Below are 26,083 nucleotides of genomic sequence, written 5' to 3'. Positions count from 1 at the left end.
TAAGAGATTAAAAATTGCAGAAATATTATTAACATATTAATATATGTTATTGAAACAAGAATTACATAGTGAAATGAAAGATCTTAGAGTGGTTGGAGAGGAAATGTCCAGAACAATTATTTCCTGGGGAATAAAAAATGATGCAATTGAGCTAATTAGGTAGAGGCACATCACTGAAAAAAGTCAGAGTCTTTCTATTTTTTGCTTTTACAAATTTTACTAAAGTTTCATTGTTTTGCATGTGAGAAAAAATCCAAACTCACCACTAGAAATCTCCTTTCTAATACACTTCCCTCATCCTTTCTGAAATGGTGCATCACTATCAAACTACTCCCAGGCAAATTTGGAACCACTAGGGGGGCAATAATCTTGTTAATATGTCAGTCTTAAAGCTATCCAAACTTCTGGAATTGAAGTCAACTCCTGAAATTTTGAATAAGATTTTTAAATTTTTTTTTAGAAATAGAAAGAAAAATTAATTCAAGATGGATTAAAGACTTAAATGTTAGACCCAAAACCATAAAAACCCTAGAAGAAAACCTAGGCAATACCATTCAGGACATAGGCATGGGCAAGGACTTCATGTCTAAAACACCAAAAGCAATGGCAACAAAAGCCAACATTGACAAATGGGATCTAATTAAACTAAAGAACTTCTGCACAGCAAAAGAAACTACCATCAGAGTGAACAGGCAACCTACAGAATGGGAGAAAATTTTTGTAATCTACTCATCTGACAAAGGGCTAATATCCAGAATCTACAATGAACTTAAACAAATTTACAAGAAAAAAACAAACAACCCCATCAAAAAGCGGGCGAAGGATACGAACAGACACTTCAAAAGAAGACATTTATGCAGCCAAAAGACACATGAAGAAGCTCATCATCACTGGCCATCAGAGAAATGCAAATCAAAACCACAATGAAATACCATCTCACACCAATTAGAATGGAGATCATTAAAAAGTCAGGAAACAACAGGTGCTGGAGAGGATATGGAGAAATAGGAACACTTTTACACTGTTGGTAGGACTGTAAACTAGTTCAACCATTGTGGAAGACAGTGTGGCGATTCCTTAAGGATCTAGAACTAGAAATACCATTTGACCCAGCCATCCCATTACTGGGTATATATCCAAGGATTATAAATCATGCTGCTATAAAGACACATGCACACATATGTTTATTGCGGCACTATTCACAATAGCAAAGACTTGGAACCAACCCAAATGTTCATCAATGATAGACTGGATTAAGAAAATGTGGCACATATACACCATGGAATACTATGCAGCCATAAAAAAGGATGAGCTCATGTCCTTTGTAGGGACATGGTTGAAGCTGGAAACCATCATTCTCAGCAAACTATTGCAAGGACAAAAAACCAAACACCGCATGTTGTCACTCATAGGTCGGAATTGAACAATGAGAACACCTGGACATAGGAAGGGGAACATCACTCACCGGGGCCTGTTGTGCGGGGGAGGGGAGGGATAGCATTAGGAGATACACCTAATGTAAATGACGAGTTAATGGGTGCAGCACACCAACATGGCACATGTATACATATGTAACAAACCTGCACGTTGTGCACATGTACCCTAGAACTTAAAGTATAACAAAAAAAAATTTAAAAAATCCAAATACAAAAAAAAAAAAAAACAGAAACTCACTATATTGCCAGGTTGGACTCAAACTCCTGGGCTCTTCAAGAGATCCTCTGGCCACAGTACCTGGAATTACAGGCATGCAACATCATGCCCAGCTTGAGGTTTCTTTATTTAAGAATTTCCTCCACACATTATTAAAAACAGTATGGAAGATTCTCAGAAGACTAAAAATGGACCTACCATATGATCCAGCAATCCCAGTAGTGGGTATTTATTTAAAGGAAGGAATATCGGTACATCAAAGGGATGCCTGCACCCCTACGTTTATTGCAGCACTATTCACAAAACCCAAGATGGAATCAACCTAAGTGTCCACCAGTGGATGAATGGATAAAGAAAATGTTGTGTATAAATACAATGGAATATGATTTGGCCATAAAAATGAATGAAATCCTGTCATGTGCAGCAACCTGAATGGAACTGAAGGTGATTGTGTTAAGTGAAAAAAGGCAGGCACAGAAAAGACAAACATTACATGTTCTGACTCATATTGAGAGCTATAAACGTTGATCTCAGAGGTAAAAGGTAGAATGATAGTTACCACAGTGGGGGAAAGAGGGTGGGGGGCAGGATAAAAAAGTTTGGATAATGGGCACAAACATGCAGTTAAACAGATAGAATAAGTTCTAGTGTCTGATAGCACAGTAGCGTGACCATAGTTAACAATTATTTATTGTATTTTTCAAAATAGCTAGAAGAATCTAGCTGTTCTCAACGCAAAAAAAATGATAAATGTTTGAGGTAATGGATATTCCAAACAGTCTGATTTGATCATTACACATCATATGTATGCATCAAAATATTGTATGTTCCCCATAAATATGCACAATTATGTATCAACAAAAATGATAAATAATTTTTAAAAATAGAAGATACATAAGATTATTTGCTGAATAGAGGTCTATTTCATCCACTAATTCACCAACATAAACATTCTGCAAAACATGAAAATAAAATGAATTTGTTTAATCCCTTCATTTATCCTGACTAATAATCAACAAAATCATGATATGCATAATTCCTAATAAATATCTTTTCTTTTTCCTAAGAAAAAGTAGAAGACTGTCTCAATTCCTTAATTGCAATGACATATAGACATTTTAGTCCAACATATTTATAAATTTTGCTACATGTTTTAGGCTTTGTTAGAGTGTGTGTGTATGTGTGTGTGCATGTGTGTATGGCATATGTGTGATCTATAATGCATATATAATGTATATAGTTATCTCTATGAGCTAAAATAAATGGAGGTCTTCTTACATGTGACACACAGGTGTTTTAAAATATACATTAAATTTTCTAATCCACATAGCAATCTAAGAAATCTCTGCTAAATAATATTATAGCATCAGTATATTTGTTGAATACATCCTTGAAATATTAGGTCTCTTGACATTAGGGTACAGTGGAAAATGCCAAAAGGTAGTACATGATCCTAATTGGAATGAAATTCAGTATTTTCTTACTTTAATGGTATATTTTCCCCAGTATTATTTAGAGTGTCTAAAAGTTGTAATTTGTTATCTCTAATATCTATATATAAAACATAATTTATCAGTTTATAATTAATAACATTAATACCCAACGTTTTTAGATATTTCTTGTAAAATTCTACATCAAATAATTCACAATTTCTTTTATTATGAGTTGCTCAATTATTGCAGGGTTAAAGCAAAAAAAATTATGTATACTATATAATTAATCTATACAATATAGGAAATAAAATACCAAGTTATGAAATTATCTATCTGGATAGCAAAATACATTTAACTGTATAAAATTACTGTACATTCAACTTACATAGAATGTGTCCATGTTAGTAATAATTTAAAATAATTTTCCTTTAATAAAGAAACAAGAATGCTGTCCTGCAGTTATAGAAACATATTAATCTTATGAATATATAATTTTTTTGAAATATTTTTTGATTTTTTGAAGCAGACCTTCAAAAATATTAACAAGGCATTAAAATTCTGAGCTGTAAATTTAATTTTCAATACTTTTCAATATATCATCCCTGATCTTTCCAACTAATTTTGAAAATTCAAATTTAATTTTGTTCTTCATAATACAGTCATGCGTCACTTAGGGTCAGGGATGAGTTCTGATAAACGCATGGTTAGGTGATTTCATCATTGTGCAAACATCAAAGAGTATACTTACACAAATCTCGATGACATAGCCTATTACACACCTAGGCTATATGTCATACACTATGATTTCTACATTACAAACCGATGTAGTTTGTTACTGTATGGAACACTGTAAGCAATTGTAACACAATGGTACGTATTTGTGTATCTAAACATATTGAAATATAGAAAAGGTACAGTAAAAATGCTGTATTGGGCCGGGCACGGTGGTTCACGCCTATAATCCCAGTACTCTGGGAGGCTGAGGTGGGTGGATCACAGGTCAGGAGTTCAAGACCAGCCTGACCAACTTGGTGAAACCCCATCTCTACTAAAAAATACAAAAATTAGCCTTGTGTGGTGGTGGGCACATGTAGTCCCAGCTACTCAGGAGGCTGGGGCAGGAGAATCACTTGAATCTGGGAAGTGGAGGCTGCAGTGAGCTGAGATTGTACCACTGCACTCCAGCCTGTGCAACAGAGTAAGACTCTGTCTAAAAAAAAAAAAAAAAAAAAAAAAAATATATATATATATATATATATATATATATATATTTAAACTGTTGAAATAAACCAAAAAAACCCTAAAATTCCATATCTAGTGAAATTATCTTTCAGAAATGAAAAAGACATAAAAAATTTCTCAAACAAAAACTAAGGTTATTAATCATCAGCATACATGCCCTTCAAAATATGTTAAAATAAGTTCACACAACTGCTTGTGAAATGGTTCACTAATAGGGTAGACTTAGTGGCCAAGATAGAGGCTAGGCATGGATCCAATAGTCTGCTGTTATCTTTTAAGGAGCATACATTTGGAATGCCACTGCTGAATGCCCACTGTGTCAGCAACAGAATCTGACATTGAGCCTGAGAGATGGTAGGATTACTCAAGGTGATCAGCCAACCACATGGTAGAAAGCTGATTTTTCACATATTTTCTGTCCTGTTGATACATACTGATTTTCAGGATCCACTGCAGCAGGTTCCTATTTCACTAACCCATAAGTCTGCTTTACAGATTGTTACTGGCAGCTCCACTGAAGAGTGAGAAAATGGAATTAATGTGGAGCCTGACAGGGCAGTAGTACAGGGGATCAGCAGTAGCAGAGGCTTTTAGGGTCCTGTGCTCTGCATCCTCAGCCCACCTCTGACTTCATCTCCAGCTGAGAGAGGGGGTCCTAGTGCGCACCAATAGTGCTTCACTTCAAGCTCCTCTCATTCTCTCACTTTTCTTCCAGGGCTCTCCCCCATCCCCACCCCAGCACACAATGTTACTGGAATTTGCTAAGAGTTAACTAACACTCTCTGGAAATAGCTGTCAACTAGTGTAGGACAGGTGTCACTGAATAAATATTTCTGTTTTCTCTCCTCCAAAGGGATAATTCTGAGGCACATGCTATGTGGTTGTTCAGAAGATTCTCAGTGGGACTGAATTCCAGTTGCCTACCACAATGGTCAGCTTAATAACACAGGATCAACCAGCTCTTCTTTCTTCCCTGTCTCTATTTACCAAGACTTTTTGGAATCACCTCTCAAATAATTGTTGAGACCTGGTTTCAGAGTGAATTCCGTTTACAAAAGTCTATAATTTACTATTTGAGTCACAGGATACCTAATGAGATTTAGGATTCAGCTATAAAAGGAATGATCATAGCCTAGAGATGAATAAGAGATTTCAGTAACTATGTTTTCTCTCTAGAGAGATGAGCATGTTTTAATTGACTAATAAATAGTGTTCTCATACTAGATAGAGCAGCAAGATTGATTTTTATTCTTATTCAGAGGTTTAAAATTGGTGGATCATGATTTGACAATAGGGACAACTTCACTATAGAGTCTGTCCTAAACTCAGCATTAACATCTCCTTCTAAATTCTCTTCTGAATCTCATAGGAAAAGTTGATGTCTCAATTTCCCAGATCACCTTTCTTATATGCTTCCTGGTAAGACTCTACCATTAGAGGCATTCACTCAAGATTTAGAAGATAAAAGAGTGAGAGAGACCATTATTCTAGGGAGGCTGTTATGTGTGTACGCATGAGCAAATAATTTATGTGAAAATCAATTCAATGACTTGTCAAGCATCTTAAGAGTTATCTATGCTAGTGTTGCATGCTGAGATAGTCAGGAGTAAATGCCTAGACATATCTGAGTTTTGCAGCACCTTCTAGAATAATTGTTAAGTATCACCCTTTTAGTGTTGCACTCTGAGGACGTCATTGTTGGCTTTAGGATCCCTTTTCCATCAGTGATTGTGTGTTCCACTCTTTTCCTCAATTAAATCTTTTCCTGATGGAACAAATATAAGCTGTATTTTCTTATCTAAACCCCCAAAATCATAGAAGGTTGTTTGATCGTTTTGATAAGAAATAAATACCAGCCAAATGTGTGGGAATGTTAGTAAGAACAATGTGAGTGTAGATTTGCAAAGAGAATTGATAAGAATCACTGTCATACTTTTATAACCAGACCTATTTCTCTAGGCCTATGCTTGGTGTATGTGTGAGTGTGTGTGTTTGTGTTTGTATGTGTGTGCACTTATGGTTGGTAAATAGCAAGTCATGTTTAATGAGGCCATTTTCCTGCACTTGTTTAATGTGTTCAGAGGTAATGTGTTATCAAAAAGTGAAGCCAAGGACACAAAAACCCTTACTGCTTATCTTCCATGGTCAGGAAGGAATGCTGGTCAGTTGTTTAAAACAAAATTTTAAACTCACTGTCTCCTTCAACAATGCTCTAGCCATTCATATTAATGGCCTTTAGTCTCAGTGAAAATATTAACAATATAATCAAGCATAGTGTGAAATTTGTCACTGAGAATTTATTGAGTTTGCATTGTTAATATGTATTTATCTCTTCTGTATCTAGGCCAACCCCAAAATAAAACTAAACCAAAAAAACAAGTAAAACAAGCAAAACACACACTCACACAGACATAGTAAAAAATAAAATAAAATACCAGAAATAGTTCTCATGATCACTTAAATATTATTTGTAACAATAGAGACTGGACTTTGAAAGACAATGTCCTCGAGGAAGAGTATGTTTACTGGGAAGAAGATAGTTTAATCTATTTGGCACAAATATGTGGTTTTTAACAGATGCTGCAATAACAGCAGTGGGGAATGTCTGAAAGCATTCTTGACAGTCACCACTGGGAGCATGGGGATGCTACTAGAATCTAGTAGGTAGAGGCCAGGGATACTTCTAACCATCCTACAATGCTCAGGACAGCCTCCCAGAAGAAAAACTCAATGTCAACATTGAGTGTTAAGAAACTTTATTTTAGAAGAGTAAAAGTAAATGGAAATGTGGGAGGGTGATTCCATTTGTTATTTTCATGCCATTTCTACAACGGGTAAGTTGCTTTCTTCTATTGAGTTCCCTTATTCATGAAACATAAAGGGAAATTCAACCTTAGGGATGGAATTAAAAAGTACCTGTTTGTCAAATCCTGTGTGCTATAAATAGAACAAGGAAAGTAAATGATTCTTCCAGAATAAGACTTTTCTCCTTAGTAAAGTCTTTTAAACAAGTCTCACAAAATCTACAAAAAGTGTGGGAAATATGCCTAATGAAATACAGACTAGAAATCTAAAGTAAAAAAAAAAATGATTGGTGGATTTAAAAGGTGTTCTTGTCTAGAAGAAAGTGTGATTTACAGGCTAAGGCATTTCAGGGAATGTGACAATCAAATGAGGAGGTAGCTCCTACAGCCTTCTCTACCTTCTCCCAGCCAAGAATAATAATTATGCATGTACAGAAGTCTCAGTCACCAGTGGCTTGATATTAATGATGATCATGTGAGTTTATTCATCAGGCTTAGCTATTACAGTGTGAGTTCCCTTCCTCATTCTAATCATCGACTTCCAAAATGCATTAAGCCTAATGGGGAAAAGACAAATCGCCAAGTCTTATTTTAACAATTTAAGGATTTTGCATTTCTGGCATTCTATTAAGTCAGTGAATGCTGCTTAGAGATACTCCACAGAAGGATTCTTGTCTTTTTTTTTGTTATTATAGTGGGTGCTTTCACTGACATTACACATGACTTATGATCAGGACCAGTGTAAGTATACCCAGTGAGCTTCCAAAATGGCAAAAATTCCAAAATGACAGAAATTGTATATAACTGACAAAAAGAGAACAAAATAATATATATGTATATGTTCCAAATAAGTCTTCAAATATGAACCTTTTCAATTATTTATTAAAAATCAATATATTATGGGAAGCAAGATGATTTTTAATAAATAATTGAAAAGGTTCATATTTGAAGACTCATTTGGAACAACCCAAAAAAGATTTAAGTGTTCACATGAGGTAATCAGAGGAAGACTTACTCTAAACTCAACATTCCAAATACATTACAAGTTAGAACGTAGAAACAATTAGCTCAGGACTTTTGAGGCCATTTCTCATGGAAAATCAGGAAAAGAGAATGAAACATTAATTTTCATGTTGAGTTATTACAGACATCAGCAGTATGGACCAAGCACCCATGAGATAACGAGTCCTGAACTGGGCACCAAGAGAGGTGGGAAATGTATTAATACCTACAACTCCCTGATCTCTGGAAACTCCTATCAATAGTTTTAGAAATAGGTACATAATGTATCATGAAAACAACTGCAAAACAGTACAGAAAGAAACCCCAAAGAGTTGGGAAGTTTAGAAGTAGGCTTCAGAAACAAATAATCTTTTAAAAAGAGTACAGTATATATTTTTCCTGAGAAACATTTGTATGGTATGATTCTTCTCCACAGACAACAACAGGAAAATAGATTTTATATTTGAATTTTGAACAAATTAAGTACCAAGTTGCTTTCTGGTAATACCTTCCAATAATGTATACTTTCCAGTTATATGCTATCTAATTAAACAATATATTCCATTGCAATGTCTTTTAATTACATGTCTCTGTACCACAGATGATAAGAGTAAAAAATGTTTTGTTAATCTCTTACATCTTATTCAGGTTGTCATAAAAACATACCATAGAAAGGGTGACTTAAACAATAGAAATGTATTTTCTCACAGTTCTGCAGGCTGGAAGTCCGAGGTCAGGATGCTAGTATAGTTGAGTTCTGGCAAGAACTCCCCTTCTGGCTTGCAAATGGCTACCTTCCTGGTACATGATCATGGAGAAAGAAAGATAACTCTCTTTCTTCCACCTTTTATAAAGCCACTAGTCCTGTTAGATTAGGGGGGCACTTTTATAACATCATAAAAGCCTTATATCCAAATTGTTGGGGGCTAAAATTTCAAAATAGAATTTCAGGATACGTAATTCAGTCTAGAGCATCTTAACAATAGAAAAAATATTATGCAAAAACAGACATAATTTTATTTATTTATTTATTCAGTTTTATTTACAGGTTTTTTAGAACAAAAAAATTAAAATAGAGACTTTAAAAGTTCTCCTTGAAAACCTACTCTACAACTTTCTGAGAAAGAAAATGGCATTAAGCATATTGACTACAATACATCAAATGCTCGTGTTTATTTTATCTAAACTACTTAAATCATAAAACGAGAATGATACTTTAGTAGGAAAGTTTGACTCAAGCGGTGTTTTTTTGTTGCTATTGCTCTTGTTTTCTGCTTTTTTTTAAATTTGAAAATATGAGGAGGAAACATGTAATAAATATCATGATTTCTGAGTTTTTCTGTGAATTGAATTAAAAAACAGAGAAGAAACATTTTCAAAATAACAGAATAAATATAGAATTATTGAAACAACTACCCTAACAGATCATGTCAACAAGGTCACTAGATTAAAGGAAGACAAGAATAAATGCTGTGTTCCAAAATCCTTTGAGTAATCCCAGGGAGATCAGACCTCACTCTCTCAGTCAACATCAGTTGTTCCAATGAAAATAATATTATATGCAATCAAGCACAATTAATCTCTGGAATGAAGATCAACAGAAGTTCAACGATGCTTGCTGACAATGACCTTTTAGCAAGAATTGCCTTTGCAGAGTCCTGGCATTATTAGCATTTTGTTGTGTACAGTAAAATAACTGAACTCCTGGTTGTTCTTGTCTAATACTGCCCAGGCGCTTTACTGGCAAACAAAAATGTACAAACCATAAACAGTACATGGAGTCCAGGGATATATCAAAGACTACCTTTCATATGTGGATGGTTTTGCTGCTTAATTCACCCACAGTGTGTTGCTTTTAGTTTTGAACATATTGTTATTCTCTTTACTATTTTACATATAAGTATTTTAAAAATAATTTGAATTGAGCAATAATTAAAATGAATGAGCAAAATCTCTACTAAGAGAAAATAATAGATATTTTAATTTTAATTTTTACTTCATCTTTTTCTTAGTATATTTCTACTTTTAGCTAAGGTTAAATTTTATGTAGACACTTGAATACTAAGATTTTATGTTACATTTCAGCATTACTTTCAATGTTATTTAAATGTTCATCTATCTGGGCATTATTAGTACTCCTTTACTAATGAATAATTCATTAGTTAAACCTCAATCAGTTTTGCCAGAGTAATCTTTGCATCACATATCTTAGTTTGGGCTGCTATAACAGAATAGCATAGACTGGTGGCTTATAAACAACAGAAATTTATTATTCATAGTTCTGGAGGCTGGAAGACCAAGATCAAGGTGTCAGAGTGGTCATGTTTTGGTGAGGGTTCTCTTCTGGGTTACAATCTGCCGATTTACCCTCATGTGGCAGCAAAAGCAAGACCGCATTTTGGGGGTTCCTTTTATGAGTATTAATCTTATTCATGAGGGTTCCACCCTCTTGACCTAATTATCTCCCAAAGGACCCATCTTCTAATGCCAACACACTGGAGCATTAGAATTCATCATATGAATTTTGGGTGAACACAAGATAGGTATTCAGTCTATAACAACCACTTAATTTCGTTAGGATTTTTACATATACTAACATGAGATAATTTACTTTATTATTACTTTTTTAAAATTTCTGGAATATTTGTCAAGATTAAAAATCTAATACAAGCCTCCTAAATGAATTTGATGGCTATCCAACTATTTAAAAATTATTTTAAAATTATATATCAGTGGATCCATCTGCTTTTCAAAAAAGCTATTCCACTAAGTGGTTTTTAAGTTACCTTAGGTCAAACCCCATAATGTTTGTTGTTTTTCTTAACTATATAATTCGCACATGCTCTAAAATATTATATCATTTGTTTTTATCAATACTTCCTAATTATAAACTTTCCTGATTTACATATTTTGATGCTACATATATTTGTGCTTATAAATAAATGTTTCTCATTTAAATAGTACCTATAACTTGCAGATAAAGTAGATTACTCCTTTTGCTTCAGTTCATGTTTTTATTACTAATAAATTATATCCTATATTTTTTCCTCATTTTGATAAACATTTGTTTCACTTTTGAGTGACATATATTTGGTCATTCTTTGTTTCCAGCATTTTGTTTATATTAGGTTATTTAAATAGTGTATAAGAAATAAATATTTATAACTTTTTTGACACAATGTAAATGCTCTTGCCTTTAAAATATGAAGTTTGGACTAGTTGAATCTATTAACATCTCTGCACCATTTAATGTCTTTTATCGTTTTACTTTCTTCTGCTAGCCATATAGATAATATATTATTTTGCTTGATATTTTCTTATTCTGTGATATGGAAGATAGACATTCTTTTTCTATTCTTATCATGTATTAAGGTGTTTCTCACAAAATAATGAACAAAAAATTTAAAAATTAATAAATAAACTATATTTCCCTCTGTTTTGAATTCTCTGACTGAATTAAGCAGGGCTATAATCCTTAGAATTTTACATTCAAAACACTTCTGTAGCATTTTCCAAATAAAAATGTGGTCATTTATATGCATATTTAATTCAAATATTACATTTATATCTATATAATTATCCAGTCTAATGCTGCAATTATACTGTAAAATTTTCTGCTCATAGGTGCTAATTTTTATTACATTTTCCTTTACTATAAGATTATCAGAAGGTGCTATATTTTTACAAAATTTATATATTTATTTGCTCTATTTCTCAGCTCTGCTCTGTATTTAAATATTATAATTTGCCTTTACATAGTAAGGAAAATATGTCATTGTTTCCTAATACTTATTAAGTGAAGGTGAGGTAGGAGGCAGGACTTGACTCTGGACCAGACTGAAGACTGGCTGAAACAGGGAAGAGGCACAGAAATTACCTCTTCCTAAAATATGTCCCCCTTCATTCGGACAGTTTACCATTGCCATAAAAACACCCAGAAGTTACAGCCCATTTCCATGGCAACAATCCAGAAATTACCACCCCTTTTCTATAATTTCTGAATAACTCATCTCTTAATTTACACGTAATTAAAGGTAGATAGAGTTTGGCTGCAGCACTGAGCTTGAGCTGCTGCTCTCCACACACCACCTACGGGGCAGCCTGCTCTGCAGGAGCAGTCACTGTGCTGTAATGCTGCTGCCCCAGTGAAGCTGTTTTCTTCCACCACCTGCTCACTCTTGAAAGCTTTCCTGGGCAAAGCCAAGAACTTTCCCTGGCTAAGCCACGATTTTGTGGCTTCCCTGCCCTGTATCACAGGGAGATTTTAGATCAACCTGATATCTCTCCATTGTTGTCATTTGAGAGAAGGGGCTAGACAATTTTAAGAGTTTCTTTTGATTTATAAAGTTTGAATATACAAAAGGACTTGACAATTATGCTTTTTTCCCTTTAACGTACCCTCTCACTTTCCTTACTTTAAAAATGGAGAGTTTTTATTATAAAAATATATCTGGTATGTTCTCATTAGGATGAAAATTCTTCCTGTGTTCAGGTTTCCAGGTTTTATCCATGTGTTTCTTAGCTTGTCATTGTTTTAAAACCCTTCTTCCTTTTTTCTCCTATGCTGTAAGGTTTAATCCCAACAGGCTTCTACAATAATTCTCATTTATGTGTTGCTCAAGTCCCTGTATGTGCACATAGCATGAAATACACTGAAATTCTATTAATAATGCTACTAATCATCTTGCTTTGTAACCATGTGCCTGTCCATGGAGATTTGGAGGCAGATTGTACCAGCATGTCAGCACTGGTTATTAATAGCAGTGAGACTAGTGATTAGACCTCTCAAATACAAGGCAATATCTCCACATAAAAGCCACAAAAACACCTCACATTTTCCATCTTGGGAAATCCATTCATTTATATTTTCTGCATTACACATCCTGATGATTATTTACTAGACTATAACATTAGGACATTATTACTTGTTACTCAACAGTCATTAGCTTGGTATCAGGGGCATAGTATGATGGTGGCTTCTCTATGACTCTGATTAAATCTCAGTCTTAAGCAAGCACTGCTTCCCTGAGTCATGGGTGTAGAGCCTTCTCGGGGATCCTGTCTGGCACTCAGGTGCAGGTCAGGGCCCAGGACTTATTCCTGCCACTCCCATGAAGTCAGAGGGGTTTGTTTGTTTGTTTGTTTGTTTTCTCTTGGTCACCTTCTCCACTTGCAATAGGTTTTCACCAGTGCCCCACAGGTGACAAGGTAGTTGTCTTTCACCTAGTGGTTTAAGATTTTCCAGGCAGAATAGATTGAACCCAGAAGGCAGAGGTTGCAGTGAGCTGAGATCGCGCCATTGCACTCCAGCCTGGGCAACAGGAGCAAAACTCCATCTCAAAAAAAAAAAAAAAAAAAAAAGATTTTTGTCCCATAGGAGAGGAGGGGGAAAGGATCTTGGGTTGGCTTTCTGACCTTCTTGAAGCAGCCTCTCATTTAAGCCAGTATCATCATGCCCCTAATCTTTTTTTTAGAGTTCTAGAAACATCAATAGAAAAGAATCTGTGAATAAGTGCAAATTGCCCTTGTGTCCTCTGCCCTCAGAGGTTCATATTTTCTTGCTACTCCACATGTAGCTTGTAGCTTGAGCAATTAAAATCCAGCTAACTTCTTTTCACCATTGCTCAAATGGCATCTGCTGCAAGTAAGCTAAGTTTTCTCTCATCTCATTTTGGAGTCACGTGTCTTATACTTAGGGTTAATTGTCCCCAGCAACTTCAGCTTTCTGTGAATTGAATAAAAATTATGAATAGGAAGAATTTCCTTGCCTTGTTGCTGCTTTGTAAAGAGGGAAATACATACTTGCCAGGTCTCCACATTCTGAAAGTCTGGCTCACCTGTTCTCTTCTTTTTCTTTTCTTTTTTTCTTCTTTTTTTTTGTCTTTAATGGGTAGACTTTATTTTTAGAACAGTTTTATATTTACAGAAAACATAATAGAAAAGTTCACAGAATTCTTGTATTCCTCATTTCCACCCATTGCACAGTTTTCGTTACTAACATCTTGTTTTAGTTTAGTACATTGGTTAAAATTGTTGAATCACATTGATAAATTATTATTAATAAAGTCAACGTCTTTCATAGTACGACAGTTCATTTTTTTTTTTTTTTTTTGAGATGGAGTCTCCCTCTGTAGCCCAGGCTGGAGTGCAGTGGTGTGATCTCGGCTCACTGCAAGCTCCTTCTCCTGGGTTCACGCCATTATCCTGCCTCAGCCTCCCAAGTATCTTGGACTACAGGTGCCCGCCACCACGCCCGGCTAACTTTTTGTATTTTTTTAATAGAGATGGGGTTTCACCGTGTTAGCCAGGATGGTCTCAATCTCCTGACCTCATGATCTGCCCGCCTTGGCCTCCCAAAGTGCTGGGATTATAGGCATGAGCCACCGCGCTGGGCTGACAGCTCATTTCTTAGTGCTGAATAATATTTCATTTTATGGGTATACCACAGTTTCCTTATCCATTCACCTATTGAAGGACATCATGGTTGTTTCCAAGTTTTGCCAATTATAAATACAAATGGTATGAACATTTGTATGCAGGTTTTTGTGTTGACATGTTTTCAACTCCTTTTGGTAGGTACCAGAAGTGTGCTTGCTGAAGTAAGCAAATGTTATTTTTGGAAGAAACTGTCAAACTGTCTTCCAATATGTCTGCATTATTTTGCATTCCCACAATCAATTAATAGGAGTTCCCTTTGCTCCTCATCCTCACAAGCATTTGGTGTTGTCAGTGTTTTCATTTTATTCATTCTAAAAGGTGTGTGGTTGTATCTCACGTAGTTTTTTAATTGGCAACTACCTGATGACAGATGACATCAAGTGTCTCTTTATATTTTTATTTGGCATTGTATACCTCCTTTGGTGAGGTTGTCCATCCAGATCTTTTGCCATTTTTAAAAATTTGGATTGTTTGTTTTCTTATTGTTGAGTTTTAACAGTTCTTTGTATATTTGTATGTCAGTCGTTGATCTAGTATATGTTTTGCAAATATTTTATTCCAGTCTGCTGCTGGTCATTTCATTCTCTTGATAGTGTCTTTGGAAAAACTTTTTTTTTTTAATTTTAAGGAATTCTTGTTGATTTTTTTTAATGGATTTTGCTTTTGGAGTTGTAATCTAAAAATCCACCAAATCTATGGTCACCTTTATTTTTTCATTATGTTACCTTTTAGGAGTTTTATAGTTTTGCATTTTACCTTAGGACTATGAACCATTTTGGACTAACTTTTGTGACAAGTGTAATGTTTGTGTCTAGATTTATTTATTTATTTATTTATTTATTTATTTATTTTTTGCATGTGGAAGTCAGGCTGTCCAGCACCATTTATTTAGAAGACAATCCTTTCTCTATAGAATTATCTGTGCATTTTTGCCAAAGATTAGTTGACTATATTTATGTGAGCCTATTTCTGGGATCTCTACTGTGTTCCATTGAACATTTTTTCAATTTTTTTAATATAGCATTTATTCTGTTTGTCTATTCTTTCACTGATACCACTGTCTTGATACTGTAGCTTTATATTAAGTCTGGAGATCAAGTTGCGTTAGTTAGTTCTCCAACTCTGTTATTCTTCAATATTGAACTGGCTACTTTGGGTCTTCTACCTTTCTATAAAAAGTTTAGAACCATTTGTTGACATCCACAAAATAATTTGCTGGGATTTTGATTCGAATTGCCTTGAATATACAGATAAATTTGGAAAAAACCGAACATATCTGATAGTTAGTCTTTTTACCCATGAACCTGGAATATCTCTCCACTTATTTAGGTCTGCTTTGATTTCTTTCATCAGTATTTTGCAGTTTTTCTCACATAGATTTTATAGATACTTATTTTCAGATAGATACCTTAAGTATTTTATTTTATTGGTGCTAACATAAGTGATATTTTGTTTTTTATTTCAAATTTCCGTATTTTCATCTTCAGTATATAAGACAGCAATTGACCTTTAAATATTAATCTTGTATCTTACAACATTGCCATAATTACTTACTAGTTCCAGCAGTATTTTGTCAATTCTTTGCCATTTTCTATATAAACCACCATGACATCTGTAAACAAAGACAATTTTATTTTACTCTTTCTAATATTTATGCTTTTTACTTCCTTTTCTTCACCTATTCTTAAGTCTTTATGACATCTCTTCTCTCTCAGGTACTTTTTCGTTCCGTTCTTTTTTCTTGGTCCAAGTAGCCTCTGTGATATTTCTAGTCCATGTGATGTTGCAGATGTTGCAGTCTTTCTTTATACATAGCTTTATGTTTTCCTCTTATGAACCGAGTCCCCAATTATACTAATGTTCTCAAATTCTGGAATTGTGTCTTACTTTATGTCTATCTCTGCTACCTAAGACAAGTAGCTAGACACAATGCAGACACAGCGTTTGTTAGGTGAACAAAATTCCAAGGGAAGAAATGACATTTTGTATTTTGAATAAACTAATTGGTAAGGCACAGGTGTGTAGAAAATATTATTTTAAAATAATAGAAGCAATTCAAGTCTCTAATAGCATTCACTAAATTTCTTTAACCTCACTTTTCTTCTCAGGCATATTAAGAAAAATTGAGAGAGGATATACAACTAGATGGGTAAAATATTGAAAGTCATCATTTTCAATTTAATATACATAAGATTTTAAAACTAAATTGGATATTTAAACAAATCTCACCAAAGGTTCGCAAACTTTGGGTCACATATGTATTTCTTTCATGTTTAGGATAATCTGACATGGCAGACAGTTAATTTGAAACATATAGCATAGAGTTAGCCAGTTAGGATAGCATATTCCTTACCAAGCTTATATTTTGATTAATGTGAGAAATTTCAACACTAAATTAGTCAAACACAGGACTTGACCTTTTTTTAGTTAATAAAGCAATTTGTTTACACATGTTTACCAGAGACAGGCGTTTGGATTTAAGTCCTGGTAAATATCCACAAGTCGAATCAGTTGTAAGCTTTTTATAATTCTGTTCAACAGAGTAGCAACAAAGTAAAATATATCAATGATTGTGGCTACTGGCAAGGAATATTAACACAGACATTGCACTCTGAAAGACATATCCAGTTTGCACAAATAAAATACTTTAAAAAAATACCTATTTTGAGATTTTTCTTTCTCTTTTTTTGGAGATAGGGTCTCGCTCCATCACTCAGCCTACAGTGTAGTGGCATGATACAGCTCACTGCAGCCTCGACTTCCTGGACTTTGGACTCAAGCCATCCTCCCACCTCAGCCTCCCGAATAGCTTAGACTATAGGTGCAGACTACCACACCCAGGTAATTTTTAAATTTTTTGTAGTGACACGATCTTGCTATTTTACCTAGCCTGGTGTGGAATTCCTGGGCTCAAGAGATCCTCCTTCCTTGGCTTCCCAAAATGCTAGGATTACAAGCGTGAGCCATCGTGCCCAGCTATTTCAAGATTTTTGATGTTATATGTTTTGGTTGCTAGAATTAATAAACTTGAACTACTATTAGTGTAAAAACAGAAATAGTTTCATGCTGTGGTTGAGATAGAGCAGCTCCTTTACAGATCATGGAGATATTACAGTTTCTGGCAGCATATTGCCACTTACATATAATAATATAATCATAGGGTTTAATGTTGGCTAGTGTTGGGATGCTGGTATTATAATAAGGTTCATGCGAATTCCATGTGTAGAAGCCTTTCTGGGCAGGTCAAAGACATCTCATGCACAGGGAATCTAACTGTTGTGTGAGTTATAGTGCTTTTCTATTGTAGTTATACTAATTTGTGAGTCTCCCAGTCATAAAAATTGATATTAATTTCTTACGTTAAGTGTAATTAAACTATTCTGTAGAGTTTACCTTTGTTTTGGTCAAGAGAAACAAGTATAATAAGTGAATTAAGAAGTAAATATAGTGTTACTACCATATTTAGTTATGTCTAAATTGTAAATCTATGAGGTTGAATTGCCTTTTATTATCACACACTCATTGACGTAAATAATCTCATGTGTCTCTTAGCAGATTTTATCCACCAAGTTCCTGGCAGCCAAACTGACATCATTATTGTATCCATTGCTTCTTAAGCTCTTCCATTTATTGCAGTACACATATAAAGGGTCTCCATCATAACAAGAGATCAATAATACAATTATAAATAAAATAAAATGAGATCATTTGGTTTTTCTTTCATAATATCAAAAATGTTCCATATAACATTATGAAATCAGAAAATAAGGATGAGTTACATAGAAGAAAATAAGCTCATTAAAAATAGTTTTCCTTTTTATACCGTCACATTTTTCTTTGCCTTTAACTTCTCCTGTGAATGTTTAAATCCCCATTAAGCTCAGATGGAACAAGAACAATTATGCCAGGAGGTATACGGTGCTCTCATCAGGCTTACTAGAAAGAAGTAAGACATCCACACTGCATGACAGTTATCACTGGATTTACTGTCAGCAGATGCTCACTGAAATGGAAATGTTCCCTGAATTGAGCTCATGCCTACAATCTTCATCTTTACTCCCCAGTTCCTTTCCTGGGGGAATTACAGGGATAAGTATCTCTGCTTTTTATAATGAACACTTTAAAGCTCACAGAGAAGCATGTCTTTTGCCTCCTCCCTAAGGAGTCATCTATCTCCTCTGCAGCACATTTTCACTGTTTTGTTTTAAAAAGCAAGGTTTGGGTGCCCTTAACTCAGTCAATTAGCAGGGTCAGATGCAATTGTTTCTGTATCCTGGAGTCTGTGCCTTCCCTACGTGATGAGTGGCTTATAAATTCCACATTCTTGTTTTATGCCTTTGCTATCTATCTCCTTAGAGGAAATCATTATTTGTTCAAAAGCACACTACAGGCATTGTAAAAATATGGCGAAAATTATTTTTATTGGCAATACTTGAACTATGTGAACTGAAAAGATGAGAAATTGGGTGAACCATGCACTTATTAAAACTTTACTGCTGCCTGTAATCCCAGCACTTTGGGAGGCCGAGGCTGGCGGATCATGATGTCAGGAGTATGAGACCATCCTGGCTAACATGGTGAAACCCCGTCTCTACTAAAAATACAAAAAAAAAAAAATTAGTCTTTACTACAAAAATACAATAAGTTAGCCGGGCCGTGGTGGCGGGCGCCTGTAGTCCCAGATACTCGGGAGGCTGAGGCAGGAGAATGGCGTGAACCCGGGAGGCAGAGCTTGCAAGTGAGCCGAGATAGCACCACTGCACTCCAGCCTGGGCGACAGAGCAAGACTCCGTGTCAAACAAACAAACAAAAAAAGCAGCAACAACAACAACAACTTTACTGCTATAGTTTACTTTGTTTGACCTCTCCATACCTTTTGTTGAAATCTGATCCTCATTGTTGAAGGTGGTGCCTAATGGGGGATGTTTGGTTCATCGGGGTGGACCTCCCATGAATGGTTTTGGTGCCATCCTCAGTAAAGAGTAAGTTCTTGTTCTATTAGTTCTGTGAGACCGGTTGTTAAAAAGAGCTTGGCACCTCCCCCATTGCTCTCTTGCTTCCTGTCCATCCATGTGATCTCTGCACATGCTGGTTCCCTTCACCTTCTGCTGTGAGTAAAGGCAGCCTGAGGCTCTCACTAGAAGCAGATGCTGGTGCTATGCCTCTTGTATGGCCTGAATAACTGTGAGAAAAACAAACCTCTCTTCTTACAAATTACCCAGCCTCAGATATTCCTTTGTAGCAACATTAAAAGGACTAAGACAGAAAATTGGTATAAAGAGTGGGATGTTGCTATAAAAATACCAGAAACTGTGGAAGTGGTTTTGGAACTGGGCAAAGGATAGAAGGATTTGGAGGTCTGAAAAAAGACAAGAAGATTAGAGAAAGTTTGGAACTTCTTAGAGATTGGTTAAGTGATGGTGACCAAAATGCTGGTAGAAATACAGACCGTAAAGACCAAGCTGACAGGATCTCACATGGAACTGATTGGAAACTAGAGCAAAGGTTACCCTTGTTAACCATAGAAAAGAACTTGGTTGCATTGTTTTCATGCTCTAGTTCTTCATGGAAGGCCAAGCTTAAAAGTCATGACCTAAAGTATCTAGCGGAAGAAATTTCTAAGCAGAAAATCCTTCAAAGAGTGTCAGATATAGGAGCAAAGGAATGGCCTAAAGTTGTAATTTATAATTAAAAAATAAAGCAAAGCCTAAACATTTGGAAAATGTGCATCCTGGGCATGTAATAGAGAAGGAAAGAGCATTTTTAAGGGAGGAATCCAATGGTGCTGCAGAGCAACCACTTGTTAAAAGGATTAGCATGACTAAATGGGAGTCAGGTGCTAAAAGCCAAGATAATGGGGAAAAGGCCCCAAAGGCATTGCGGAAATTTTCAAAGCTGCTCCTTCCATCACAGGCCCAGATACCTGGGGAGGACAAAATTGTTTCAAGGTCTGGGACTGGAGCATCACTGCCCTGTACCACCTTGGGATGCTGCTCCCTGCATCCTGACTGCTCTACCTCCAACCACTGCTCAATGGCCCCAGATACTGCTTGGTCCTCGGCTCTAAAGTATAAACTGAAAGCCTTGGCAGTGTCCATATGGTGTTAAGTCTGCAGTCACTCAGAATGCAAGAGTGGAGGAGGCTTGGCCACTTCCACTTAGATTTCAGAGGATATATCCCAAAGCCTGGGTAACCATGCACAATTCTGCTACAGGGGCTGAGTCCTTGCAGAGAGAATTTACTAAGTTCATACTGAGTAGAAGTGTGCAGTTGGAGCACCCTCAGAGAGTCCCCACTGGGGCACTGCTTAGTGGAACTGTGGGAGCAGGGCTGTGTAGACCGACCAGCAGCATGCACCATCAGCCTGGAAAAGCAGCAGGCATTCAACTCAAACCCAAGACAGCACCCATGTGGGCTGTGCCCAACAAAGCCATGGGGACACAACTGCCTGAGGCCTTTTGAGTTGACCCTTCACACCATGTACCCAGGATGTGGGATATGAAATCAAAGGAGATTATTTTGGAGTTTTAAGGTTTAATGTCTGCTTTGCTGGGTTTCAGACTTGTATGGAGCCTGTTACTCCTTTATTTTGGCCTATTTCTCCCTTTTGAGATAGAAATGTTTATTTAATGCTTACACAACCATTGTATCTTGGAAGTAAAAACATTGTTATTGATTTTACAGGGTCACAGATATAAAGAGTTTGCCTTGAGTCTCAGATGAAACTTTGAATATTGGACATTTGAGTTGATGCTGGAACAAGTTAAGAGTTTTGAAGACTATGGGATAGAATGACTATATTGTATGTATAAGAAGGGTATAAAATTTAGAGGGCCAGGGGTAGAATTGCTATAGTTTGGATTATTTGACTCCTCCAGACCTTATGTTGAAATCTGATCCTCAATGTTTTAGGTGGGGCCTAAAGGGAAGTGTTTGGATCATGGAGGTAGATACTTCATGAATAGCTTGTTGCTATCCTCACAGTAATGAGCCCTCTTGCTGTATTAATTCCTGTAAGAGCTGGTTGCTATAAAGAGCTTGGTACCTGCTCTCACCGCCTTGCTCTCTTGCTTTCTCTCTCACCGCGTGCTCTGTGCACATGCCTGCTCCTCTTTGCCTTCTGTCATGAGTGAGGACTGCCTGCAGCCTTCCCCAGAAGCAGATGCTGGTGTCATGCCTCTTGTATAACCTGCCTAACTGTGAGCCAAATAGATCTCTTTTCTTTAGCATTTACTCAGACTCCAGTTTTCCTTGACAGCAACACTGAAAGAACGAAGACAATGGCTCTTCCAGAGGAAGAAAGATTATCCTGTCCTGGCTATCTTGTCTATTACCAACATTCCAGGATGAAGAAATATGGTGATACACTCAGGCCACTGGAATGGCCTCCAGTACAGCAGTAAGTCTTAGAATCTAGCCATCCTCTTACCTGCAAAGCTGCTACCTTGAATAAAAAAAAAAAAAAAAAAAAAAAGAAAAATTTTCCACAGACATGCTGAGCTATTCCAGGAAAATGCTCAGGATCTCATTCCTGTTCTTTTTACACAATTTGCTTACTGAGATTTATCTATTTTCATCTATACTTATGTGCTCATTCATTTCTTCTCTCTGTTTCTCTCTTTCTCTCTCTCTCATCCCTCTATATCTTACTCTCTCTCTCTCTCCTGCCTCTCCATCTCTCACTATTATTCATTCTGCCTAGTTTCATTCTGGATCCTCTACTGGACACTATCCTTAGGATCATTTTATTCCAAAGACTCTCTGATCGCAAAAATTTTTATTATATATCTGCTATCTATAAATTCTTACGGTAATAATTAAAATAAAATCAAAAAACAGATAAGTGTTGAGCTATCAGACACCATGTCATTTTAAGCCTCTACACAGTAATTTTTTTTTTTTGGTAACATACTTAGGAATTTTTGCTTAGTTACTTTGATTGATAAAATTAACTTTTTAAGACAATTCTATCAAGCTCTGCAATTTGTTCAACAATAGTCACTGAATTTATCAGCTCACCATCATATTTCCTTCAGCTTTGAGAAATTAAATGTGACCATGTCCCTGGATGGTGGTACAGTCCATTGTGAAACCAACTTATCAGTTGCCTGAAAAGGAAGGGAAAATTTGACTGAAGATAATTAAGTCACAGAAATGTGTGTGCTTAATTTCTAAATTTGTAACATCTGATGTAGTGGGCTGGCTTTGCCTTTTTCCAGGACTTACATTTTTCATTATGGATTAACCACAGATATGAGTGTAGTTCCTATTCTATACTAAACAACTACATTGGTGAGAAACTGATGTAGAGTGGCCCACAGTACTTACTGTCTTTGTATTTGTGGGGTATCCCAAGGCTATTTTTCTCTGACAGTAAGACACATGCCCTCATGCATACCATCACCTCACTCCTCAGCTATAAAGCAAGCTTGTCTTCATACCATTTGCTTTTTTTACAGGATATCAAGTCAAAACAAAAAAATTAAAAAATAATTTGGATGACTGACTTCTTCTCCTTCAATCGGGGCTGCTCTGTGATTTTCAAAGTATTAATACGGGAGTCCTTCAAAATCTCTTCTATGTGCTGTTAAGAACGTGGCACTCCACTTCCAGAGAGTCATTTGTTAGCTCCTGGTATCCTCTATGAGCTTGTTCCAGATTTTCATAGATATTTCATAATCTGTAGGATATCAGAAAGTCCTTTTCCAGTTTTAGTCTGGATAAAATTTTCATCTCTTTGTTCAGCAATTTTATTAATTTAAGTACATTAAAAGAGAAGAGATTTGGACATGTGATCTAACTCTCCATCTTGCCAGGTAATACTCAGTGCATTTCATATTTATTACAGGTGAATACCAGTGGAATGCAACTTCTTTTGCTTTAGAAGACAAGCTCTTAGCAATGTCAAGTTTCCAGGTACGACCGAGAGATATTCAACATATTATAATTTCCACTAAGATGGGAAACATTTCCTAGGGGTTATTTCTCTTTGACAGCAGAGAAGTATCCAAGTTATTCTAGATAATAAAGCAAAGTTTTCCTCAAGTCCTGTATTATATGAGACTGCTGTTTCTGAAAATTATAGTCCCACAGCAACCTACGAAGTTTAGAGATCAATATTTGATTTTTCTATCTTGCTAAATATTCTTCAAATCAAGTATTAGTTGTCCCTGTCACTCAGCATGAAGAAAAACTGTGTTAAAGAGGACCTGGAGAAGTAAACTGACTACTGACTTACCAGACTCCAGAACTATAACAAGTAAATTTCTGTTGTTTATAAGCTACCCAGATTATCGGGTTTTGTTTTAGCAGCCCAGGTGGACTAAGGCAAGGGTTCTTTTTGCTTTTTCCATATATTTGTGTTTGTGTATATGTATATGTGAGATAGAAAAAAAGAATTTGTTATGATTCATCACAGAGTTAAAATATTTTAAGAATATAAACTTTTCTACAAAAATGTAATTCAAGTTTTAGTGAGAAAGTTATGTAAAATGAATGTATATAAAACAACTCTTCCTAGAGGACACCTGTTCTGGCAGGTGAGAAACTGATAGCGATGTGCTGCACTGAGAAGATAAATGTAACCAGCATACTCAGTAGCATCTTCATATACTTCTTTTGGAGGAAGCTCATCAAACTAAGGTGTGGCTTCCCCACTCAGGCCTTTGCTGGCGATCCAGCCTCACTATTCTTCTTTCTTTGTGCTGTTACTCTTCCAGGTAGCCCTCTGCTTTTGATCACTAGGTTTTTCTTTTCCATCTCTGTATTTCCTTGGTAGAAGGGACAGTATGAACAAAGCTGGAATTCAATCTGTTCACACTTTTGTACTGAAAATATGTAAGTATCCTTCAATACTATGTGTTATATAAAAAATTACTAACCATAAAATAATTGTCAGGAAAACCCAACCTTCCTATTGACAGTTTTACCAAAGCATCAAAAATAAATTTGTTTCCAATAAAGTGCTTGATCCTTATGCATACATGCAGGGCAACTACTGAATCTCCAATCAGTGACCATGAATAATACTTTTGTTTTTTGGCCTTGAACCTATTGCATATGTTCTAGCCACTTCCTCTTCCTGGGGAAACATTGATTTTCTTATGAAAAACAGCTCTCCAATCAGGAAATGGTATGTGCCTTATTAAGAAATACTTTGATCTGAATGTTTGTGACCCCTCTAAATTTATGGGTTGGAATCCTAACCCCCAAGGTGATGTATTAGAAGATGGAGATTTGGGGGACATGATTTGGTAATGAGGATGTAACCCTCATGAATAGAATTAGTATCCTTATAAATGAGGAACCAGAGAACTACCTTGTCCCTTTCACTATATGAGGACACAGCTAGAGGACACCTTCTATGAATCCGGAAATGGATCCTCAACGAGACACTTCATCAGCAGATGCCTTATCTTGGACTTCCCAGCCTCCAGAATTATAACAAATAAATTTCTGTTGTTTATAAGCTACCCAGATTATGGAGTTTTGTTATAGTAGCACAGATGGACTAAGGCAAAGGTATTTTAGCTTTTTCCATATCTTTGTGTTTGTGTATGTGTGTATGGCAGACAGAAATAAAATGAATTTGTTATTATTCATCATAAAGTTAAAATATTTTAAGAATTTAAACTTTTCTACAAAAATGTAATTCAAGTTTGTGTGAGAAGATTTGGGGTATTGAAGAAAATATAAAGAAAAAATCATTAAAAATTATATTATTTATTATTTATTTATTGTCTCTCTTAGGCTCTCTCTTCTCCTGCTCATTACATATATATTAAATACATAATAAAAATCCTGAGTATTAGTTATTCTTCTCAGGCTTAATTTAATGATTGAATATTCTGTATTAAAATAACCAAAATATTAATTTTCAAATGTTTTTTGTTTTAGATATTTAAACCTTAAAAAATTGTGAATGTAAAATAGGTGCCAGTAAATTAGCAGCTACTCTAGATATGAACATAATCATTTTATGTTTGCATAAACACAATATATAGAAATCCAACTCCTCTCTAAGCCAGAATGTTAACCAAAACAAGTTTAATTAAGTATTCATATGTAACTTGATTAAATATATCTGATTAAATAGGTAAATTTAAATAAGTGAATGGCAGTGTTAAATCTTATGCTAATATTCTTTAGACTGAAAGAATATTATGTTTTGAAAATTGAAGTGCCCCAAGATGGAATTTTTGCAACACTGTATCAAACATATTTAATTTGAGAGTAATTTGCTTTATAAGGAAAGCTAAAGTAATCTACTGCAAATCTTGCATTTCAATCAATTCTTGGGTATCCTGATTTAGAGAGATGAATGCAAATTTTGTATTCTGGCAGAAATAATTTTTAATTTCAGCACTACACTTTCCAATAGATGATTTGATCAAACTTCTTCTAAGAATCAGTTTCCTCATCTGGATTGTCTAATTGAATTTTTTCCATGAGAAAACAACAACAACAAAACCCTAAATACTTAAAAGAGGAATTCTTCATTGATTATATAT

The 26,083-nt window shown here is 35.4% G+C and overlaps 1 long non-coding RNA gene across 1 annotated transcript; it reads left to right on the top strand.

Moving 5' to 3' along the window:
* The first annotated feature begins 8,213 nt into the window (after window positions 1-8,213).
* On the top strand, window positions 8,214-25,041 carry LINC01689 (long intergenic non-protein coding RNA 1689). The gene is made up of 4 exons (NR_109963.1): window positions 8,214-8,341; window positions 21,258-21,375; window positions 21,832-21,972; window positions 23,422-25,041. It is a non-coding gene; the product is annotated as a long intergenic non-protein coding RNA 1689 (long non-coding RNA).
* Window positions 25,042-26,083: the final 1,042 nt, after the last annotated feature.

The sequence above is a fragment of the Homo sapiens genome, chromosome 21 (assembly GCF_000001405.40).
Source record: "Homo sapiens chromosome 21, GRCh38.p14 Primary Assembly".
In the NCBI taxonomy this organism is placed as follows: Eukaryota; Metazoa; Chordata; class Mammalia; order Primates; family Hominidae; genus Homo; species Homo sapiens.
Note: the sequence above shows the minus strand (reverse complement) of the source record. Positions and strands in the feature narration are given on the sequence as shown.